General features: G+C 46.4%; 1 protein-coding gene across 9 annotated transcripts in view; it reads right to left on the bottom strand.

The window, feature by feature from the left end:
* The window catches only part of MAPK4 (mitogen-activated protein kinase 4), a 172,215-nt gene that overhangs the window by 43,954 nt on the left and 105,639 nt on the right, over window positions 1-22,622 (bottom strand). The gene's annotated exons all lie outside the window — the stretch shown is intronic.

The following is a 22,622-nucleotide window of genomic DNA, read 5'->3' as shown; positions in this document are numbered from 1 at the left end:
CTCCAGTCCCTCCATTAAATCTCTCCAAAAAGGAGCAGCTGACGGCATTCTAGTGGCAACACAGGGCCCTCGAGACCACAGGCAAGCAGACACGTGGCCCAGAAGGATTTCTGTGGGGGTTTTGCTTGTCCTGCCCAAGTGTTTGCCCAGCAGACTGCTCTTCTCGAGTTGCCAGGCGAGGTCACACCGCAGAGTCTCGCTGGGAGTGGGCACTTCAGACCCGGGTGCTGATTCAGCTGGAATGGAAGCATCCATTTCCTAAGCAGGTACCTCCTGCAGGCGTGTACCAGGGAAAGAGCGAGGCAGGCCTCTGGGAACTTGCTGGGTGGCACAAAGAGGTCAGGCTGAGCTTTACAGTGTTCCACAAAAACTCGCAAACTGAGTGAGCTACTTTAGGATAACATAATTGTTTTCAACTGGGGGGCAATTTGGGCCCCCAAGGATATTTGGCAATGTCTAGAGGCATTTTTAGTTGTCATAACTTGAGGGGTGGAGCTACTGGCTTCTAGTAAGTAGCGGCCAAGGATGCTTCTAAATATCCTACCATTGGCCAGGCATGGTGGCTCACGCCTGTAATCCCAACACTTTGGGAGGCTGAGGTGACAGGATCACTTGAGCCCAGGAGTTCAGGGCCAGCCTAGGCAATGCAGTGAGAACCTGTCTCTATAAAAAATAGAAAAAAAATTAGCCAGGCATGGTGACACATGATGTTTCCTTTTGGGATGATGAAAATTTTCTAAAATTGGTATGGCAAGAATGAACAACTCTGGGAATATACTAAAAGACACTGAACTGTACAATTTAAATGGGCAAAAGGTATGTGAATTCTAAGTTATTTTCATCTATGTTTTTATATGTATGTGAATTACATATCATTAAAGCTGTTATATATGTATAGATGCATACATATATAAAACACACACACAATCCTTGGCCGTCTCCATCTGGGCTTTGTGGAAAACACTAGTGGCAGAGTATAAGGCAGAGAATAATTTGCCAGGGACCTCAGATCCATCTGCTCTTGCCTCCTTGGTCTCACTGCTCAGAATCTGTGACCTCTGTCTAATCTCTGCTTTCTTCTCCGCCAGTCAGCCAGAGTTGAGCTTAAGGAGGCAATACCCTTCTGGATGGCCGTGAGTACCACAAGGGTAAATAACCGACATGGATTTCAGGACAGTCTTACTTCACATAGCAGACGTGTCCACTGGGCTCACATTGGATGGAGAAAAATCTCGATCTGTTTAAAGGAAGCTACAGGAAGCCAGCTGGCAAGATGAGTGTTGTAATGTGAGCAAACATCCCTTAGCCATCCAGCAGGTATGAAGTTGTGTCGGTTTGGTTTGCTTAAATCGGGAGCCACATCTGAGAAGAAAATCCATTGTTCAGAAAGGACGCACCATTGTAAAGAATATCATGTGGACAAAGTTTTGGTGCTTTTTAGGAAGCAGTTTAGTGCTCTGGCTAAATGAGGATTAAGCAGAAAAGACTTTTTGTTTCAACTCCTGTTGCTGGAAATCTCTCCAAAGAGTTCCCATTCAATCTCCTGCCTGGGTACATAGCTGCCAGGGAACAGAATTTAATGTTTGATGACTGAGTGACTTCCTTAGCTTCCAGTCTTTCTGAATTTTAGTTCACTACGGTGCAAGGCTATAGGCAGAAGTGTGGAAAACTGGAGTTACATTTGGCAGCTTGGTCTGCAGAAGGTTCAGAAGAGAAATTAATTTGAAGTTAAAAACCAAAGAGTAACACGACTCCTAACGAGGCTTATTTTTGTTTTGCTGTTCCTTGGTTTACTCCTGAAAGCAAATCCAGTCTCTACCATCACCTCAGGTGAGTTACTTCTAGGGGGCCTTTCTAGGGGGCTGGCTGATTTCTATGTCCTTACCTGGCTCTCCCATTGTGTGTCTGAGAACCGTGGTGCTCTGGCCCCTTGATATTTTGCTCTTTTCTGCATGCCATGATTGTATCAGAACTCTCTGTGAAGGCAGCAGATCAGTGCCACCGAGAAAACAGCATGCTCCAGAGAGCTGCGTGTACCGAGTGTCAGTATCTGGTGCCATTCAAGAAGATGGCAGGCTTTACAACATTGGATTCTCTTCCCAAACCGTCGGAAGGTGTGAAGTAAACAGCACTGGCCTCCCTTGAGAAGGCGAAGGATGCAGGTCATTCTGGTGTGAGGACTGGCTTGATCTCACAGAGCCTCACATCTGGAATTTGGGGTCTTGGTCTCCAGATGGGTGGCAAGGGAAGATGCCAGGACAGGAGTCCTGCCTGGCTGGATAAGCAATCCCACGGCTGGCTTTATGCCATCCCGGTGCCTCCCCCACATGCACTGCACATTCATTTCTCTACGCGTTCTTGTAGATGACAGGAAAATCTCACTTGGTAAAGCAGATGTGTCCATTGGGCCCCCGCTGGATGAAGGAAAGTTTCCCTCTGCTTAAGACTTAAAGGGAACTGCAGGATCTTCCCCATAGCCACGTGTGGGATGCTGGCCATATTCTCTCTCATTGGACAGTGAGTGAGGAAGCCAAGACCCACCGGGCTTGGCAACTTGCTTGAGGTGGCACAGTTAACACTCAGGAGGCAGGGCTGGAACCCAGGCCCCTGATGCCAGCCAACTGGCCTTTCTTCCACTTTGCTTCTGTGCCTTTAGAAGAAAGTTTCTAGGTGGGGAATTCAAGGCACAGGCAGTAATGTTTGCTCCTGGTCACTTGGTGAGTTGGGAGCAGAATGGAGACTAGAAATCAGATCACCTGAATCTCAGGCCAAGGTTTTGTTCCCAAAGGAGCAATGGTTTTAGTACTGTGTGTTTCTGGTGGGCATGGAACATCCATCATGAGTGCTGTGAGCTAGGAGGCTTAGAGAGGAAACAGGAAAACAAGAAGGGGTGAGAAGAGAAGGAGATGGAGGACAGCCAGGTGAACAAAGATGGGGCCCGGTGCCACCGAAACATGGAGACGTCTGCAGGGCACCTAACACACTGCTCCCGGCCCTCTGGCCTCAATCCCTATGGGTCTGCCTGGAGCCTCCTTTTTCATCCTATTTAGATTCATCCCAGTGCCTTCCCACTGATGCCTTCTGGAGAGTTCCCAAGGCTGTTCACCCAGGCCTGCCTTCACCTGTCTTCCTCGGTGGTTGGAGCAATCTGACCTCCCTCCCTTCCCACACAGCCTGCTCTCTGAGGGTGGCAGCTGCTGTAGTTAATGAATGGGTCCAAGCCACAGCCCACTGTGATGGGGAGGCCAGGAGGTGTCTTCTCCTCACCCCCCGAAGGCAGAGCTCACCCAAGGGAGTGAAGGGGAATAAAAGCTTTTTTTTTTTTTTGAGTCAGGGGCTCGCTCTCTCACCCAGGCTGGAGTATAGTGGCTTGATTACGGCTCACTGTAGCCTCAAACTCATGGGCTCAGGTGATCCTCCTGCCTCAGCCTCCTGAGTAGCTGGGACTACAGGTGCACGCCACCATGCTCAGCTAATTTATTTTTTATTTTTAGAAAAAGGGGTCTTGCGATGTTTCTGCGGCTGGTCTCGAACTCCTGGCCTCAAGCAATCCTCCCACCTCAGCGTCCCAAAGCACTAGGATTATAGATGTGAGTCATCACGCCTGGTCAAAGCTCTTCTTAATTGCAATAACAGAAGCCACTCAAATAAGTTTAAGCAAAAAAGGGGCTCCACCAGGTTATTTAATGGAATCAAGCCTCCAAAGGAATGAAAACATTAGCCAGAAAGTGCTCTAGCAACAGGGCAGCCCCCTCTCTCTACTCCGACTTCCCTTCTTTCCTTAGCACCCTCCATCTGCACAACACAACCTGGCTCTCTCTGGCTCAGGAGGTCTCCGTGGTGCCATCTGGTCTGTTCTCAGACATGAAGGACTACAAGGGACCACAGGGGTCTGTTCTCAGACCTGACCCACTTCCTGCTGGTCAGGAGTGGGAGCATGGATGGTGATCAGACGCCTTAAGGGGGACATCCAGAGAGAAGCGAGACAATCTAACCACTGTTAGTCTATCACTGGACTCCAGCGCCATGCCACCCTACACCCAGCTCCATGCCACCCTACATCCAGCTGTGTTGCCAGTTCTCCTGCAGCTCTGGGAGGGAGGAAACTTCTCCTCTGGGGCTGAAAGAGCTGTGTGGGTAAATTCCAGGACTCTTAAAAATAATCTGGTCTATATAAGTTTTCCACTTAAATATAAACTCCACGAAGGCAGGAACCTTGTCTAGAGTCTTGTGTTTCAGCCTTGTATCTCCAACACCTAGACCATAGTTGGCATTCAAATATTTGTTAATTGAATAAACGTATTTATTTTAAAACAGCTTCATTGAGGTATAACTGAAATACAATAACTGCACATATTTAGTGTGCTATTTTGGTAAGTTTACACACACACACACACACACACACACACACACACACACCCCATCACCAATAAAAATAATGAACATATTAGGTCAGGAGTGGTAGCTCAAGCTTGTAATCCCAGTACTTTGGGAGGGTGAGGCAGGCGGATCACTCGAGGTCAGGAGTTCAAGACCAGCCTGGCCAACATGGTGAGACTCCCGTCTCTACTAAAAAAATATAAAAATTAGCTGGGCATGGTGGTGCTTGCCTGTAATCTCAGCTACTTGGGAGGCTGAGGCAGGAGAATCACTTGAACCTGGGGGATGGAGATTGCAGTGAGCTTAGATCACGCCACTGCACTCCAGCCTGGGCAACAGAGCAAGATTCTGTCTCAAAAGAAAAAAAAAAGAACATATTCATCATCCTCAAAATATTCATCATTCCTCTTTGTAATCCCTTTCCATCCCTAGGCAACCACTAATTTGTTTTCCATCACTGTAGATTAGTTTGCATTTTCTAGAATTTTACATAAATGGAACCACACAGAATTTACTTCATTTATTTCTGTCATCTTTCACTCAGCACAACTCTCCTGAGATACATCTGTAGTGTTGTGAATGGTTTATTCCCTTTTATTGCCCAGTGGTGACTCCACTTTATGGAAAGACTAGTGTTTTCATTTGAATGTTGATGGACATTTGGGTAGCTTTTAGGTTTTGGTTATGGAAAAGCTGTGATGAACATTTGTATACAAGTCTTTCTATGAACATATGCTTTCATTTCTCTTGGGTAAATACATAGAAGTGAAATGTCTGGATCATATGACAGATGTAAGTTTTACTTTTAAAGAAACTGCCAAATCATTTTCCAAAATGGTTATAACATTGATTTTCAAATATTAAATGAAATTTGCATTCCTGGGATAAAACACTCTTGGTCAATATGTATTATCCTTTTTATATATTGTTGGCTTCAATTTGCTAAAATTTTGTTTAGAATTTTTGCATCAATATTAATGGAAGATATTAATCTGTCACTTGCTTTTCTTATACAGGTTTTTGTCATGTTTTGCTATCACAATAAGGTTTAGAATGAGTTGGGAAGTATTCTCTTCAATTTTTGGGAGAGTTTGTAGAATTGATATTATTTATTTCCTAAATAGCGGTAGAATTCACCAATGAAGCTATTTGGGCCTGGAGGGTATTTTTTTCTTTGTGGGAAGATTTTAAACTACATATACGATGCTTTTCATAGATATAAGGTATTCAAATTATCTCTTAAAATTTTTTTCAAGATATAATTCACACGTCGTAAAATTCACCATTTTAAAGTGTACTATTTAGTGGGTTTTAGTTTATTCACAAGGTAATACAATCATCACTACTATCTAATTCCAGAACATTTTCAACAACCTAACAAAAAACTCCATACTCATTAGCAGTCATGCCCCATTTTCTCCCATTTCTCTGCCCTGGGCACCACTAATCTATTTTCTGTCTCTATGGGTTTGCCTATTCTGTACATTTCATATAAATGGCATCCTACAATATGTGGCCTTTGTGTGACTGGCTTCTTTCACTTAGGATAATGGTTTCAAGGTTCACTCATTATAGCCTGTATCAGCATTTTATTCCTTTCTAAGGCCTGAATAGTCAAAACAATCTTGAAAAGGAACAAAGTTGGAGTATTCATACTTCCTGACTTCAAAACGGACTACAAACTGCAGTAGTTGAGATAGCATAGTACTGGAATAACAGCGATATATACAGCAACAAAAAATGAAGTCTAGAAATAACTCTTACATTTATAGTTAAGTGATATTTGCAAAGATTCCAAGACAATTCAATGGGAAAAAATAGTGTTTTCAAGAGATGGTGCTGGGATCATTACCCACATGCAAAAGAATGAAGTTGGACCCCCTATCTCATACAATGTATAAAAATCAACTAAAAAATGGATCAAAGACCTAAACTGAAGAGCTAAAACTACAAAAATTGAAGAAATCATAGGCATAAATCTTCATGACCTTGGATTAGACAGTGGTTTCTTAGATATGATGCCACAAACAAAAGCAGCAAAAGAAAAAGGACATAAACTAGATATCATCAAAATGAAAAACTTCTGTGCTTCAAAGGACAACATCAAGGAAGTGAAAAAGACAACACAAAAGAACTTGAGTTGAAAATTTGGGTTGAAATTTTTTTTGCAATTATCCATCTAATAAGGGACTTACATTTGGAATATTTAAAAAACTTTTATAATTCAATAATTTTAAAAACCCAATTAAAAATGAACAAAGGGTCTAAATAGACAGTTCTCCAGAGAAGATATACTAATGGCCAATTAGCACATGAAAAGATGTTCAACGTCATCAGCCATCTGGGAAATGCAAATCAAAACCACAATGAAACACCACTTCACATCCACTAGGATGGCTAAAATTTAAAAAAAAAAAAGTGTTGGTGAGGATGTGGATAAATTGAATCCTTATACATTGCTAGTGGGAATGCAAAATAGTGTGGCCCCTTTGGAAAACAGTCTGGTAGCTCCTCAAGCAGTAGCACATGACCCAGTAATTTCGCTCCTAGGTATATACCCAAGAGAAGTGAAAACATATCCACATAAAAACTTGTACATGAATGTTCATGGCAGCTTTATCATAAGAGCCAAAAAGTAGCAACAACCCAAATGTCCATCAGCTAATGAATGGACAAACAAAATGTGACATATCCAAACAATGAAATAGTACTTGGCAATAAAAAGAAATGAAGTACTCATACCTGCTTCAATCACATGGATAAACCTTGAAAACATTATGCTGAGTGAAAGAAGTCACAAAGGACCACATGTTGTGTGACTCTACTTATGTGAAATATTCGGACTAGGCAAATCCATAGATAGAGAAAGCTGACTAGTGGTTGTCTAAGGTTGGGGGATGAGGGACCTTGTGGGGACAGGTGATGCTGAAGGGGGATGGGATGATGTTTCTTTTGGGGGTAATGAAAATGTTCTAAAACTGATTCTGCTGATGGACATACATTTCTGAATACATTAAAAGTCATTGAATTGTAGACTTTAAATAGGTGAACTGTATGGTATGTTAATATATCTCAATAACATTGTTTTTAAAAAGAGTTTAGGCCAGGCGCGGTGGCTCACACCTGTAATCCCAGTACTCTGGGAGGCTGAGGTGGGCGGAGTACCTGAGGTCAGGAGTTCAAGACCAGCCTGGCCAATGTGGTGAAACCCTGTCTCTACCAAAAATACAAAAATCAGCTGGGCGTGGTGGTGGGCACCTGTAATCCCAGCTACTTGGAAGGCTGAGGCAGGAGAATTGCTTGAACCCAGGAGGTGGAGGTTGCAGTGAGCCGAGATTGCGCCACCATACTCCAGCCTGGACGACAAGAGCGAAACTCTGTCTCAAAAAAAAAAAAAAAAAAAAAAAAAAAAAAGTTTAAAAGCAAATATAAAAGCACTGTTCTACTGAAAGGAATACTCTGGGTAGTGGCCTTTTCCTAACTCGCTGTGTGTGGGGCGGCGAGCGCTGGGTCCCTTGGTGGGAATCTATGTTGCTAGTTAGCAGGCCTTGGGCCTCAGTGAGTCTCCAGTGAGGAGGGACAGTAGAGGAGGACAGCGTAAGAGCACGGGGAGAGGCCACCAGGAGGGACACAGGAAGGAGGGCAGGGAGGAGGCTTTCCTGTCCTGGCCCCATCTCTGCTCACAGTGGGGCCCAGGGAGGTCACAGAACTGCTTTGTTCTCCAAGCTTCCACCTGGGCAAAGCGGAAGCCCGAGCGCCTCCATGCCATGATTACTCCCTCTTCTCATCACAGAGGGTACCAGGAAAGTTCTCAAATTCTGGAACGGAGCCTGATTACATCAGCTGCTGTTCCAGGTTCCCGGAGGCAGATCTTGTCCCAGCTCTGTCTCTCATTAGCAGTGGGGCCTTAGATGAGCTTTTCAACCCTAGGGGCTCCTTTGTGCTCATCTATCAAAGGAGGATAGTAATTAACCTGACTCGCTTCTCTCAGAGGGTTGGTATGAGGATCCAGAGTTATGGGTGGGAAAGAACTCCCTAGGGTGCATTATTGTGAATTGTAGGAAATATTTCTGGGTAGATATGAGGGTATTGATCTTCCAGCTACAGAAGCCATTGGCTGATCACTCCTTCCCTAGCTTCCGACCCAGAGCATTTGCAAATTGGTTAGAGTCAGGCTTGGAAGGGCAGCTGGGGACAAGAAAACGTGGCTAAGACAAAAGACCTGCACGGAAGCACACCCATGACTCAGTCCTCCTGGCCTTGGGCTCCACCCAGCTCAGCAAGTGGGCTACTGAAAACCACCTTCACACACAGTGATGCCTCAGGCCTGTGAAACCAGGCCACGCAGGCCATTCTGTGCTCCCGGGCTTGCTCTCCTTCATGGGGAACTCAGACTCCAATTCCATAATAAAAGGCATAGGGATTGACAATGGGGAAAATTTGACCCCAAGAAGACCTCAGGTGAGTCCTGCGGATCACAATGGCTTCATCGAGCTTACTGCTGGAGTTTGCATGGTTCCTACAGATGGTAGTATTTGTATGCAGAAGACGCTGCAAAAAAAATCTTCATGACCATACCCTCAAGTCTCCCATACCCCAGAAAACCTGCTGGCCGTGTCATCTGAAAGCCAAAGGTGGGGCCGCCATGCCACAAAAGGGAGGGCAAGGAATGGCTCCCCCTTTCCTGCTGCCTTCACCCAGAAAACAAGGGGATCCTGCCAGGTGCATGATGGACAGCAGAGGGCAAACGTGTTATCTTGGAAGAGAAGAAAGCAAGAATAAGAGTGTGGGGGCAGCTGTGGGACCAAGGCCTGTTCATTTTATATATTTTTGGGAATTATTGAAAAAGGGAGGGAAAAAAAGCTGTATTCTTCCCAAAGTGACTGTGCCAGGGCAGACCTCTCAGTTGCTGCTCTGAGTGCCTGAACAGGGAAGTCGCTGGTGGACCCTTGAGTGAACACCTCTGGGAAGACAGGGCCCGCTCTCCAGTCTGTACAGGGTGGAGGGGTGATGGCGGCTCCCAGACAGTATCTACTCTGATTGGTCACTGCCGATGTCTGTTCAGATTGGTTGGTCCCAAAGCTTACCAGTTGTTAAATATCTTGAATATCACCTGTAGTGTATAACCACAGTACTAGAGGCAGGCTTTGGCCAAATTGCAAATGTGTCAACATTTAAGGGGGCTCTGTATTCTGGTCTCCTTTTGAGTTCAACTCCCTTCCCCTAGCCCAGTGCTTCCTAATTAATCCATTTTGACAAGTTCATTACAGTAAGAATTTTCTGACTTGTTCCCACTCATCTTCACTCCCTTTATCGGTATCTTAGAAGAGAAACTAATACATGGTCAACCACTCCAATACAATTTACTATTAGTGGTACAATTTTAGGTATCTGAGAACACAGAAACCTGAGTTATTATGAGGGGATGGAGCCAGCCTGAGGGAGGTTAAGTAACTTGCTTAGGCTCACATGGCACTAGTTAGTACCTGCCCACTCTACCTATGAGGAGGTTGTCCTATTTCCCGGGGGCATGGAACCCACCCTCACCCCACCAGCCTGTCCAGAAGTCTCCTCTTCCCAGAGGCTGCAGCCTGAGGCAGAGCAGCCACTCTGGGTGGGGAGGTAAGATTTATAGACCTGGGAGGTGCAGGGGCTCATGCCTATAATCCCAGCACTTTGGGAAGCAGAGGCAGGAAGATTGCTTGAGCTCAGGAGTTTGAGACCAGCCTGAGCAACATAGCGAGACCTTGTCTCTACTAAAAATAAAATAAAATAAAAAATAGCCAGGTATGGTGGCATGTGCCTATAGCCCCAGCTACTTGGGAGACTGAGGCAGGAGGATTGCTTGGGAGATGGAGTCTGCAGTGAGCTATGATCTGCACTCCAGCCTGAGCAACAGAGTGGGACCCTGTCTCAAAAAAAAAACAACAAAAAAAAACCTTACACACATGACACAGTGGGCACCTCAGAGCAGAAGGCAGTTGAGGGTCCCTGTCCGTGGACTCCTGGGCCACACGCTGGGGTGCTTGACCCTTTTCTTTCAGTAACCGAATAATCCAGGTTTACCACTCTTTTTGCAATGGGTAAACTGTTGCAGCAAACTTTCCCAACTTCCCACCTGAAAAGGTTACTGTGATAAAACCATGAATGTTCATTTTACATATTTTTGGGAATTATTGAAAGAAGGCTATGCCTTGTCGAACCATTGTTAACATTTTGGAGTTTTTACTTCTAGCCCAGCAGTCCCCAACCTTTTTGGCACCAGGGATCAGTTTCGTGGAAAACAATTTTTCCACGGACCGGGAAGAGGAGCTGGGAGATGGTTTTGGGATGAAACTGTTACACTCAGATCATCAGGCATTAGATTCTCATAAGGAGCGTGCAACCTAGATTCCTTGTATGCGCAGTTCACAATAGGGTTAGAGCTCCTATGAGACTCTAATGCCACTGCTGATCTGGCAGGAGGCGGAGCTCAGGTGAGGATGCTCCCTCACCAGCCACTCACCTCCTGCTGTGTGGCCTGGTTTCTAAGAGGCCACAGACAGTCCTGGTCCTCAGCCCAGGGGTTGGGGACCCTTACTCAAGTCTATTTTAAAAAAATGTTTAGTTATTTTCTCCTTGTTTTAAACTTATGATCATACCATCTTCATAATTCTGTATCTTGCTTTTCAAACTTACTATTATTACACAAAATTGTCTATGTTATTGCAAACTCTTCAAAAACATCATAGAACATACTCGTGTAACAATTCTATTTAGTGGATGAATGATAGTTTACCTAAGCACACCCTAGCCTCCAATATAATTTTGTAAGTTTAGATTTTCATGCATTGGGTTCTCTCTAAAGTGGTGATGTTTCCTAACATCTGTGCTCCATGTATCTAGGAATTAAAACTGTTACAGCTGGTCATGCAGCTTGAATGTCACTTTTTAACTTTAGGATGAGTTTCAAATTGTATTGAGATAGAATGAAAGGATATTACAGTGTCCCTGAGTCTCAAAACACTTTTACAAAACCCCTGAGGACATCTTTGTGGACAATGAAAAAATTTGGGTAAAAAGTATATAACTATGTAAATTGATAACTGGTTTGACGGCTAAATCCAAAGAATGTCAGTGTCACTCTGGAGGGGCGTGTCTAGTGGCTAGGCCTTTGGTCTAATCTCTTTACACATATTTTAACCAGTGAAATGAGTGAAGTCCTAGAAGACAGGCTTATAAATTATGAAGCTATAAGGGATAAGATTATGTGACAGAACAAAGATCCAAAAAGATCTCATCAGGTTACAATATTTGCAGGAAGCCAAGAAGATGAAATCTACAAGGGATGAGGGTAAAGAAAGTCCTGTACTTGGGCTAAAAAAAGATCAACCATATTCATGTAAAATAGAGTATACAGAGCTAACAGAAGTTAGTTGACTACAGGCTCAATGAGCCAACAGTGCAACCTGGCTACCGAAAGACCATGGGCAACATGAACAGCGTGATGTGTACAGAGCAGCAATGTCGCATCCCCACTGATGCTGTGCTAGCTAAATCACATAGCACCTGTTCTGGAAGATACATTTTAAGAAAGGGTCTGCCATGCCTATAATCCCAGCACTTTAGGAGGCTGAGGCAGGCGGATCACCTGAGATCAGGAGTTCAAGACCAGCCTGGCCAACAAGGTGAAACCCCGTCTCTACTAAAAATACAAAAAAATGGGCTGGGCGTGGTGGCTCACACCAGTAATCCCAGCACTTTGGGAGGCTGAGGCGGGCAGATCACGAGGTCAAGAGATCAAGACCATCCTGGCCAACATGATGAAACCCCGCCTCTACTAAAAATATAAAAATTAGCTGGGCAAGGTGGTGCATGCCTGTAGTCCCAGCTACTTGGGAAGCTGAGGCAGGAGAATCACGTGAACCCAGGAGGTGGAGGTTGCAGTGTGCCAAGATCGTGCCACTGCACTCCAGCCTGGCAACAGAGTGAAACCCTGTCTCAAAAAAAATAAATAAATAAAAACAAAATTAGCTGGGCCTGGTGGCAGGCACCTGTAGTCCCAGCTACTTGGGAGGCTGAGGCAGGAGAATCGCATGAACCCGGGAGGCGGAGGTTGCAGTGAGCCGAGACTGCACTATTGCACTCCAGTCTGGGCTACAAGAGCAAACTCCGTCTCAAAAAAAAAAAAAAAAAATGGTTTGCCAAGAAGGAGGTCAATGAAAGGGCAGTCAGGATAGTGTGAGCTCTGGAAATGCAGTCACCTGAATGGCCATCAAAGCAGCTGAGCTCAGTGGCTGAGAGCACAGTCTCTGAGCTGCCACTGGGCTTTGCAGTCCAACGCTGCCATTGACCAGGCAGGTGACCCTGGATAAGTTACTCTCTGTGCCTTAGTGTCTTCATCTAGACAATGGGGGCAACAACAGCACCTATTAGGTTGTTATGAGGATTTAGTAGGTTAACACCCATTAAGCACTTAGAAGAGTACCTGAATATTTTTGTATAGGGGGGCTTCTAGCCTACCGAGATTTAGAGGGACATGGTAGATGACTTCAAATCCTTGAATGCTGCCCTGAGGAAGAGAATTTATGCTTGAAGACCATGCTTATTCAATAGAAAGGCAGAGGCTTGGCTTGTTCATTAGCCAATTAGCATTGAATGAACTCATACAATGGATCAGATACTATGCTAGGTGCCAGGAATATAGAAATGAAAGAGATACATATGTTTTTCTAGGGGCCCTGCCAGGTCTGTCTGGGAAGAGGCATGTAAACAGATCATCACAGTAACGTGGGGATAACGGCTTTGCACAGCCAGAGGAAGGTGTGATTAACTCTTCCCTGGGTTGCTGGGTGAAGCTTCACAGAGGTGGGACATTTGAGCAGGGTCCGCAGGAGTTTATGTGGGAACAGAGGGAACAGTGTGTGGGACCAGAGCTGTCACTGGGTATGGTATTTTCCAGGGAATGGTGACAAGTCAGTTACAACACGAGGGAGTGGAGTGGCAGCGGATGAGGCGAGGATAAGGGCTGGTCTCTCCCAGCTCACAGATGTGTGAGACTGAAATAGAAGGTAACCACAAAAGGCAGGATCATCACAGCAATGCGATGCCCACACCCCCACCGAGCCTTCTATTTCTATACTACTGTCTTCTCAACAGGCTACCGCAGCAAAGCTAAATCAAGAAACCACATTTCAGGAGAAAACGGAAAAGGATTTGATTCAATTTTCTAATTATCCTTCTTCGATATAAACCAAAGAATATCTGCCTATAGAATAAGACAGTGTCCTGTTCCTGAGATGTTTACAACTTGGGTGTACCCAAGTGGAGAGACTGGAGCAATGACTGAAGGTCGGGTCCTTTACACCAGGACTGAAAACACCCTCTGAGAGGGAGTGAGTTCTCTCACCAGCAAATCTTGGGTATAAAAGGAAGGAGGAGCTCATTATTCAACACTTATGCACCGAGGCCCTCCCACTTCATTCCATTTAATAATATTCATTAATCAGCTGGAGAAAAAAAGACACATTACATACAGGGGAACAATCCTATGAATGAAGACCAACTACTCTTTAAAAACAACATGGACAGGAAATAAGGCAATGACATTTTTGAAGTATTGAAAAAAAATGGTAAATTCAGCATTTTTGTTTTTTTTGAGACGGAGTCTTGCTGCGTCGCCCAGGCTGGAGTGCAGTGGCACAATCTCGGCTCACTGCAAGCTCCGCCTCCTGGGTTCATGCCATTCTCCTGCCTCAGCCTCCCGAGTAGCTGGGACTACAGGCGCCCGCCACCATGCCCAGCTAATTTTTTGTATTTTTAGTAGAGACTGGGTTTCACCATGTTAGCCAGGATGGTCTCAAACTCCTGACCTCAGGTGATCCGCCTGCCTCGGCCTCCCAAAGTGCTGGGATTACAGGCGTGAGCCACCGCGACGGCCAATTCAGCATTTTACACCCAGGGAAAATAAACTTTAAACATGAGAATAAAAAATATACTTTCTAGGTAAACAAAGGATTTGTCACCAGCAAGCCTGCACTGCATGAAACACACTAGCTCCACTCCAGCGTCCCTAGCGGGCTGCAGACTTCCTGCCTGTTGAATTCTTCAGGAGCTTTGGCACTTGCCACAGGAGGTGGCAGCTCTCATGGTGAGGGGAGTACCAGGTGAGTGAGCAGGCTGGGCTTCCGAAGAGGGGGCTGTTGATCCCTTTGAGGCATTTTTTATTTATTTTTTTGAGGCGGAGTTTCACTCTTTCGCTTAGGCTGGAGTGAAGTGGTGCAATCTCGGCTCACGGCAACCTCTGCCTCCCAGGTTCAAGAGATTCTTCTGGCTCAGCCTCCCAAGTAGCTGGGATTACAGGTGTCTGCCACCACACCAGGCTAATTTTCGTATTTTTGGTAAAGATGGGGTTTCACCATGTTGGCCAGGCTGGTCTTGAACTCCTGACCTCAAGTGATCCACCTGCCTCGGCCTCCCAAAGTGTTGGGATTACAGGCGTGAGCCACTATGCCCAGCACTTTGAGCCATTTAATCAACTGCTTACCCCTAGTGGACAGCCAGACCCACAGGCACATTGGAAAGGGGGAACTTTGATATGAGGGAAGCAGCACAGCGTGGCTGATGTGCACTGAGATAGCTGGGCCAGTTGCTGAATAATGAAATACTGCAAGCTGACTGGTAAATAGCCACTACTCCAAGCCCCTGACTCCCTTGCTCCTCCCCTTGATCCAGCAATAAAGGGTGAACTGGTGGCAAGCAGGACGCCTCTAGGACCCTGCTTCAGGACCCTGGCTGGCTTCCTTTCTGATTGGTCATCTCCCAGGCCAGGCTTGTGCTTAAAGATTTATAATATCACCCCAAGCTCAGTGGGGTTGCTTCCCGGAAGGGTGGCCTGGGTGTGGTGTTCTTCTGAGAGTGGGTAGAAGAGGACCCCAGAGACCCAGGGACAGAGGGAAGAGCCTCTTCTCGGGATCCTCTTCTGCCATGGGAAGGGGACAGGGAGGCACTGAACGCCAACACAATGAGCTTTCCAAGTCTGCCTGGGTGTTCAGGGACACCTGACTCTCAAGTACAGCCTCCGTTCTAATCCCCTTGATCATATTTTTCCCTTTAAAAAAGGGATATTTCATAGCCTTTTAAATAAATCTTTTCAGCTCCACTGATTTGGAATAACATGCTTAGTGGCTTCAGAAGAAAGTGACCTTTCCTGCTAGCTGAGCCCTCAGAAAGTGCCCTTCCACAAGCTCATTTTCCCATGAAATCCAGCCTCCGCGGATGGCTGGGTTCTGCTCCCAGCACCAGCCCTGTGGACCCCATTCCTACTCTGGGGTCCTGGGAAAATCCTTCTCCACTCCCTGCACCCTGTGGGTTGCCATCTGCACTATGGAGACCTGAATATAAACACACAGACACTAAAAGGGCACTCTCTTGATCACCGGCAGAGACCCCATTTTAGTCACAGATTGAATATTTCTCCTCCTAGTTTCAGCTTGGAGAGAATTTGTGCTTTAGGAGAGCTTTCTGTGTGTTTTTCTCAGGCAAGAAGCCATCAAAGAAAGACAGAGTGCCCAGGAGAGGGAGGAAATGAAGTTGATCAACATGATTTTTTTTTTTTTTTTTTTGAGTCAGGGTCTCACTCTGTGGCCCAGGCTGAAGTGCGATGGTATAATCATAGCTCACTGCAGCCTTGAACTCTTGGGCTCAAGTGATCCTCCCATCTCAGCTTCCTGAGTGGCTGGGACTATAGGTGTGCACCACTATACCTGGCTAATTTTTTCTTATTTTTTGTAGACATGGGGGTCTCGCTGTTGCCCAGGCTGGTCTCAAACTCCTTGCCTTAAGCAGTCTTCCCAAAGCCTCCCAAAGCTCTGGGACTGTAGGCATGAGCCACTGCATCTGGCCTCAGCATGATTAAACCCATGTAAACCCCGCTGACCAGAGCTCCCACGCAAAGCCACTGGAAGCTGGCTGCATGTGTTTGACATCATGTACCTCTTTTCCTCCTTTGGGACCTCAAATTGAACCACAAACTTAACAAACTGCAGTAATTTGCTGAGCCCTCAATCAGACATTCAATCTTGCTGAACTGTGAAACCAGTGTTTTTGCTTTTAAATAACATCTAGTGAAGTAGTTCACACCAGAATGAAAAGCCTATGTTTTCCAAAATTATTGTTCGTATCACCTAATTGTTAAAAATCAAACCTAAACATAAACAGTCCTCCTATGGGTTTAGGTCCCTGGTGTGTGTAGCTTTCCAGTAAACTCGTGCCATGGGGTAGCAGGCAGTTTCCAAGGTGATGTGAGTGAGGCCCTCCAAAGTCATCATGCTTAAAACAATCCACATGACCCCTGTCACAGAGCCTGAGATTCCCACCATTAGCAGCCCTTCTGGTTAAGGCACCTGCTTCAGACACACCTGTGTTCTCTGGGAGGCATTCTTAGTCTCCTTCATTGTGCTGAAGTTTGAGAGCCACAGCTCCAAGCGTCAGCAAACACATCAGGAGCATCAGCTTTCTGTCCTGAGATAAGCAATCCCATGTCTTTGGGTCAATGGTTCTTAAAAGTTCAGGAGCATCAGAATCCCTTGGAGGCTTGTGAAAACACAGATTGCTGGGCCTCACCCTAAGGGCTGTTGTTTGAGATGGAACCTGGGAATCTGTATCTCTAATAAGTTCCTAGGTGAAGCTGAGGCTGCTGGTGTGGGGCCTCACTTTGAGAACCACTACACTAGTTGATTTTTTTTTTTTTTTTTTTGAGACGGAGTCTCACTCTGTTGCCCAGACTGGAGTGCAGTGGTGTGATCTTGGCTCAATGCAACCTCCACCTCCCAAGTTCAAGCGATTCTCCTACCTCAGCCTCCTGAGTAGCTGAAACTACAGGCACACACCACCACGCCTGGCTAATTTTTATATTTTTAGTAGAGACAGGGTTTCACCATGTTGGCCAGGCTGGTCTCAAACTCCTAACCTCAAGTGATCTGCCCACCTCGGCTTCCCAGAGTGCTGGGATTGCAGGCGTGAGCCACCACACCCGGCCTGCTAGTTAATTTTTAAGGCATCCTAATGAGATATGGAGGCAAAGCATGGAAGCAGTCTGATCTTGAACGAAGAAAGAAGACAGAGGGCTATGAAGCAGAAAGGCTCAAAGGCAGGCCAGTCCCGCAGGAAACAGACTTGCTTGAATGATCCACCAAAACACATGAGCCTTTGCCCAAATTCTGATGGGACCTTCCTCTTCCTTTCCTTCTTGGGTATTTTCTGCTTACTGCCCCTTTGAAAGGCGGATATGTGAAAGACAAGCGCCATGTGGCTTATGAAAAAATAGGCAATGAGTGTTTTTTTTTTTTTTTTTTGAGATGGAGTCTTGCTCTGTAGCCCAGGCTGGAGTGCAGTGGCACGATCTCGGCTCACCGCAAGCTCCACCTCCGGGGTTTGCGCCATTCTCCTGCCTCAGCCTCCCAAGCAGCTGGGACTACAGGTGCCCGCCACCACGCCCGGCTAATTTTTTATATTTTTAGGAGAGACGGGGTTTCACCATGTTAGCCAGGATGGTCTTGAACTCCTGACCTTGTGATCCATCTGCCTTGGCCTCCCAAAGTGCTGGGATTACAGGCGTGAGCCACTGTGCCCGGCTGCAATGAGTGATTTTAGGTCAGTCTGTCAGAAGCAAATAGAACTTGTTATGATTATCCCTTAGAGAGATAGAATGAGGAATGGATATGCTATAAATTCTGCCAGGGGATTAGAATTAAAGTAACTTGTATTATACCATACCCACCTAATTTTAGAAGTACTGCTGCAAGAACGATAGACCCGGCAATGGGGCCTCTATATGTGCCTTTGGCAGTCAGAGGTGTGAGCTGTAGAGGGCTAGCTTTACTGTAAATGCCATGATGCACGCTAGTCATAGAAGGTTACTGGATCAGGAGTTTGACGGTTCTTGAATGTTGTAGTGGAGATGAGCAGGTTTAGTGAGCCCAGGGTAAAATAAGTGCTACAAGCAAGGGTAGTGGGTGGTCCCCCCAGCAGCCCCAGCGAGGACTCTATGGTAGGAGGAGAGGTGGCCCTTCCTGGAGCAACACACTCTCACCGTGAGTCAAGCTGTCATCGTGCTCCTCAGGACCTCCGCATACTCTTGAGGTGGTTCCTGACCTTTCTTAAGCCTTACACAGTGCTCAGTGAAGTCTTAATGACATTTTTTTTCTCTTTTGAGATAGTCTGCTTCCTAATGGGATAAATTCAGAAGAAAGCACACTCCAATCCTTCAGCTGCCTCTTCTCAACACAAACAACGAAGAACTCATTAGCGGGCCTGCAGAGGAAGCGGTAGAAAGGGCTTGTCACAGGACCACGGGCTGAGAAGCCACCCTCAGGTGGGGTTGCAAGACTCGCCCCAAGGCCACTGGGTCAGGAGTGGGGTCCGTATCTCAGTGAAGGGGAAACTGACATCTGGTGTCTGCCTGGCATTGCCGTGGCATCTCTTTGGGCAAAGTTTGGTTAGTGATTTAGCCCTGCGTACATCTGAATGCACTTTGACAGCCACGCTTTTTCGTTTGACTCTAACAGGAATCCTATGAAATAAGCAGAATGGCCTGACTCTCCCGATTTGGCAGAAAAGACAATCGGGAAGTGAAGCTCTGAGAAAACAGTGGACATGGAGTCAAAACCCAGGCTCAGCCACTCATTGTGTGACCTTGAGCGAGTCTCCTTCCCTTCCAGTTTTGTCATCTGTGAAAAGCCAGGGATGGACAACATGGGTGTGAGGTCTTTTTACAGATCTATTCTAGGGATAAACTACATGAGCAAAAGGACTTGCCCAAGGTCATGCAGTTGGCGAGATGAGTGAGAATAACACAGAGGCAGTGTTTTCCAGACTGCCCCTGTTGAAAGGGAACATCCTCCATTGCCACCCACACCATCTCCCCAAGTGTGGGCTGCAGGAGCCTCTACATGGCCCCTAGACCTTGCAAAGACCAAGACCCCCAGGGGTGGTGCAGTAGGGGGCACACACCCAGCATGCATCCTGACTGCAACTTGAAACCTCGACGTGGCCAGTTGCTCACTAGAGAAGAGAAGGCCATTTCCTTTGGTATCTCCTTCACTAAATGAACCTAATGGGCACGTGCCCAGTGTCAGGCCCTGCGCTAGAGGAGGGGATGTGGGAGCAAATGAGACATACTGTCCACCCATGAGAAAGATGGGAGGCATGAGGACCAGGCTGCTGCACACTGCTGGGTGGGCGAATAAGAATTCATCCATGTGCCAGGAGGGTGGTGCGCCCCCACTCCCTGGGGACAGATGCTTCTGTGCTCAGGACCTTTCTGGACTATGCCCTGTATATCTTTTCACCTGGCTGTTTATTTGTATCCTTGAAAATGTCCTTCATAATAAATGTAAGGAAGTGTTACATGAACCTAACCCTAACCCTTACAGTAAATGTAAATAGGTGTTTCCCTGAGTTCTGTGAGCTCCTCTAGCAAATTAATTAAACTCAAAGAGGGGACCATGGGAACCCCAACTTGAAGCCAGTCCATCAGAAGTTCCGGAGGCACGGACTTATTAATATGACTCGTGGGAAGGAGGGGGCAGTCTTGTGTCCCTCAACATGTGGGATCTGATGCTATCTCCAGGTAAATAGTGTTGGAATTGAATTGGGGGACACCCAGCTGGTGTCCACTGAAGAACTGATTGCTAGCTTGCCGGTGGGGAGAAATCCCCAAGGTTTTGAGGTCACAGAAGTCTTCTGGGTATGTTGTTGTGGTGTGAGAGCAGAGGAAAAATGTTCTGAGAGTTTTTCCAAACAAGGCTCCAGTTGGATCACTAAGCCTATCGCTGGCCCTGGGCTGTCTCAGCCAGGGAGAAGGGGCATTTTTTTGTCCCACACAAAGGCACTCGCTGCAGCCCAGGTGAGCATGGTCTTCTTCAAAGGGAGTGGAGATCCATAAAACTTTAGAAGGGGTTAAGTTTCGAGAAGTTTGTGTGTAGACAGCATCCTCCAAGCACACTGGAGAGAGCAGATGCATGCCCCAGATGTACACATCTGACCACAACCAACCTACTGTCTGGAAGAAGTATGTGCTCTTTTTCTGAGAGTCAACCCTTCCAACCACACAAAATCAATGAACCCAACAGCTCCCTTTCTGCAATGTGCTAGTAGATGACTATTCTTCCATCTGTTCAATACAGTCAACAAAATTGATTGAGGGCCATGTCTTAGGTACAGTGATCAGAATCCATGGAGGGGAACCATAAAGAAGGAGAGACAGCTTTCAAGGGGCCAAGGGACTCTCAGCTTGGGAGAGTACAAAGAGACAGACTCAAATACTCCTAGGACAGAGCAGAGAGTGATGAGTCTTAGAAGATACCCATGATGGGATGGGGAAAGTGCCATGGGAATTCAGAGAAAGGAATGATTAATTCCAACCCAGAATCCGGAAAGACTTCATGAAGGAGACAGCGCTCAGAGAGACCCTCCATCAGGAGAGGAAGAGGCCTCAGATCCTGTGTCCTTTGGCCATATCAGCTGTGTAAGCTTGAGAAAGCCGTTTCTCTCTGTTTTAAAATGAACCATTTGCCCTAAGTGCTTCACAGCATTATGGGGATTAAACGAGAACTGATTTAAATGCACATTGGATAAATAAAAGCACCAAATATAAAGCCTTTCATCATCACTGTGGGAAGAGAGGGCAGAAAGCTAAAAGCAGAAAGTGTATGAGGGAGGAGGTGGGGTAGGGGTGGGTGGCATCTGCCAAACACGGGGTTGCAGGGATGATGTGAGCACCTACTGGGCTCATAACTGCCTCCAGTGATTTCTTTAACCTCCCACAGCGAATTTTATTAAAGAGAACCCGATAAGAGCAAGTCAGAACATCAAAATTCCTCTACATTGGGAAAATGAAAGTCTCAACCAGGGAAGTGGCTTCCAGTCCCAAGTGACAGGATAACACTAAGCCCAGCCCTCAGGGTTGCTGGGGGATCGTGTGAGCCTTGGTCTCTCCAGCTCCCAGCACTGAGCTTGGGTTTGATGTTGGCTCAGCAAATATCCATTAAATGAATGGATGCAGTCCTGACTGCTTTCCAAGGAATTTTACATTCATGGATCATTTTGATTCTTAACCATAAGCCAGAGGAGCAGACAGAGCACAATTATTATCCCTGTCAAAGAGGGGAAACTGAGGCTCCCAGGGGGTAAGTGACTATCTACATCCAAGCTAGCACTGTTAGAAGGAACCCAGACCTCTGACTCCTCCTAAAGGGTCCTTTGCTCACACCATGTCACCCCCAAAGAATTATTGCGATAGCCAGTTTACGCCACAATAAACCATCTTCCTGGACCTTCCTAAAGCCCTACTATGTGCTGTCTTAAGCTCTTTCCTTGTTGCAGCTCACTTAATCAGGTTCTTTCATCATATGATACTCAAATGTACCGGTTTATTCCAATTCAGAAGGTAGTTTTTGTGCATCCCACATATAAGAGTCTTGTGGATTTTCTAGGTTTTTTACCAAGTAAGAACAGATTTGGATTAAAACCCTTGGTTTGGTGGTTTGGAGTCATTGCTCCTTAGAAGAAAGAGAAAAAAGAAGCAGTTCAAGGAATTAGAAAGAGATACAAGGGCACTGTTTCTCCCTGCCTCCCCAGGCCCCAGCCCATGGACATTCCTTCCTACAGAGTTGGCTGTCAGTTTTGACAGATGGCTTGGCTGCAGGAGTGGGGCAGAGGGCAGGCTCATGGTTAAGGTCACTAAGTAATTTGTGGCACCAAGGAGCCAGAGCCAGCTGGGCTGATTTGGGGTCTGAAACCTGGGCTGGAGCCCAAGTTCCAGCCAGGGAGGGTAGGACAGGGAGCCCTGCTCCCTGCCCCCTGTGATGCCCTGCACTGCAGCTGTAGAGGGCAGATCAGTGCCCTTCTATGTGGGGGTGCTAAAGGAGGGCAGAGGAATGGGGCTCAGGGAGACAGCCAAAGCATGTTCAAGGTCAAAACCACCCTCCCCTTTCATGACCCACCCCAGCCCCTTGGATGATAACAGACTACTGTACACCTAATCCCAAGGAGATGTTTTATTCTAATAACATTTTTTGTAGCATCAAGGTTTGGGCAGCAGGCTGGAAGCCACAGCCAGCCCCCAGCTCTGTTGCAGGGTACATGGCAACATGCTCATGCTGAGGGGCTCAGAGGCACCCCTAAAGTGGCAGGAACCCGGGGCAGGGGAAGGAAGGGAATGTCAGAGGACTCCCAGCTTCTGAAGAGAGGAATGGATCAGG

Source organism: Homo sapiens, chromosome 18 (genome assembly GCF_000001405.40).
Source record: "Homo sapiens chromosome 18, GRCh38.p14 Primary Assembly".
NCBI classification, from domain to species: Eukaryota; Metazoa; Chordata; class Mammalia; order Primates; family Hominidae; genus Homo; species Homo sapiens.
This window is presented reverse-complemented; position numbering and strand designations above follow the sequence as displayed.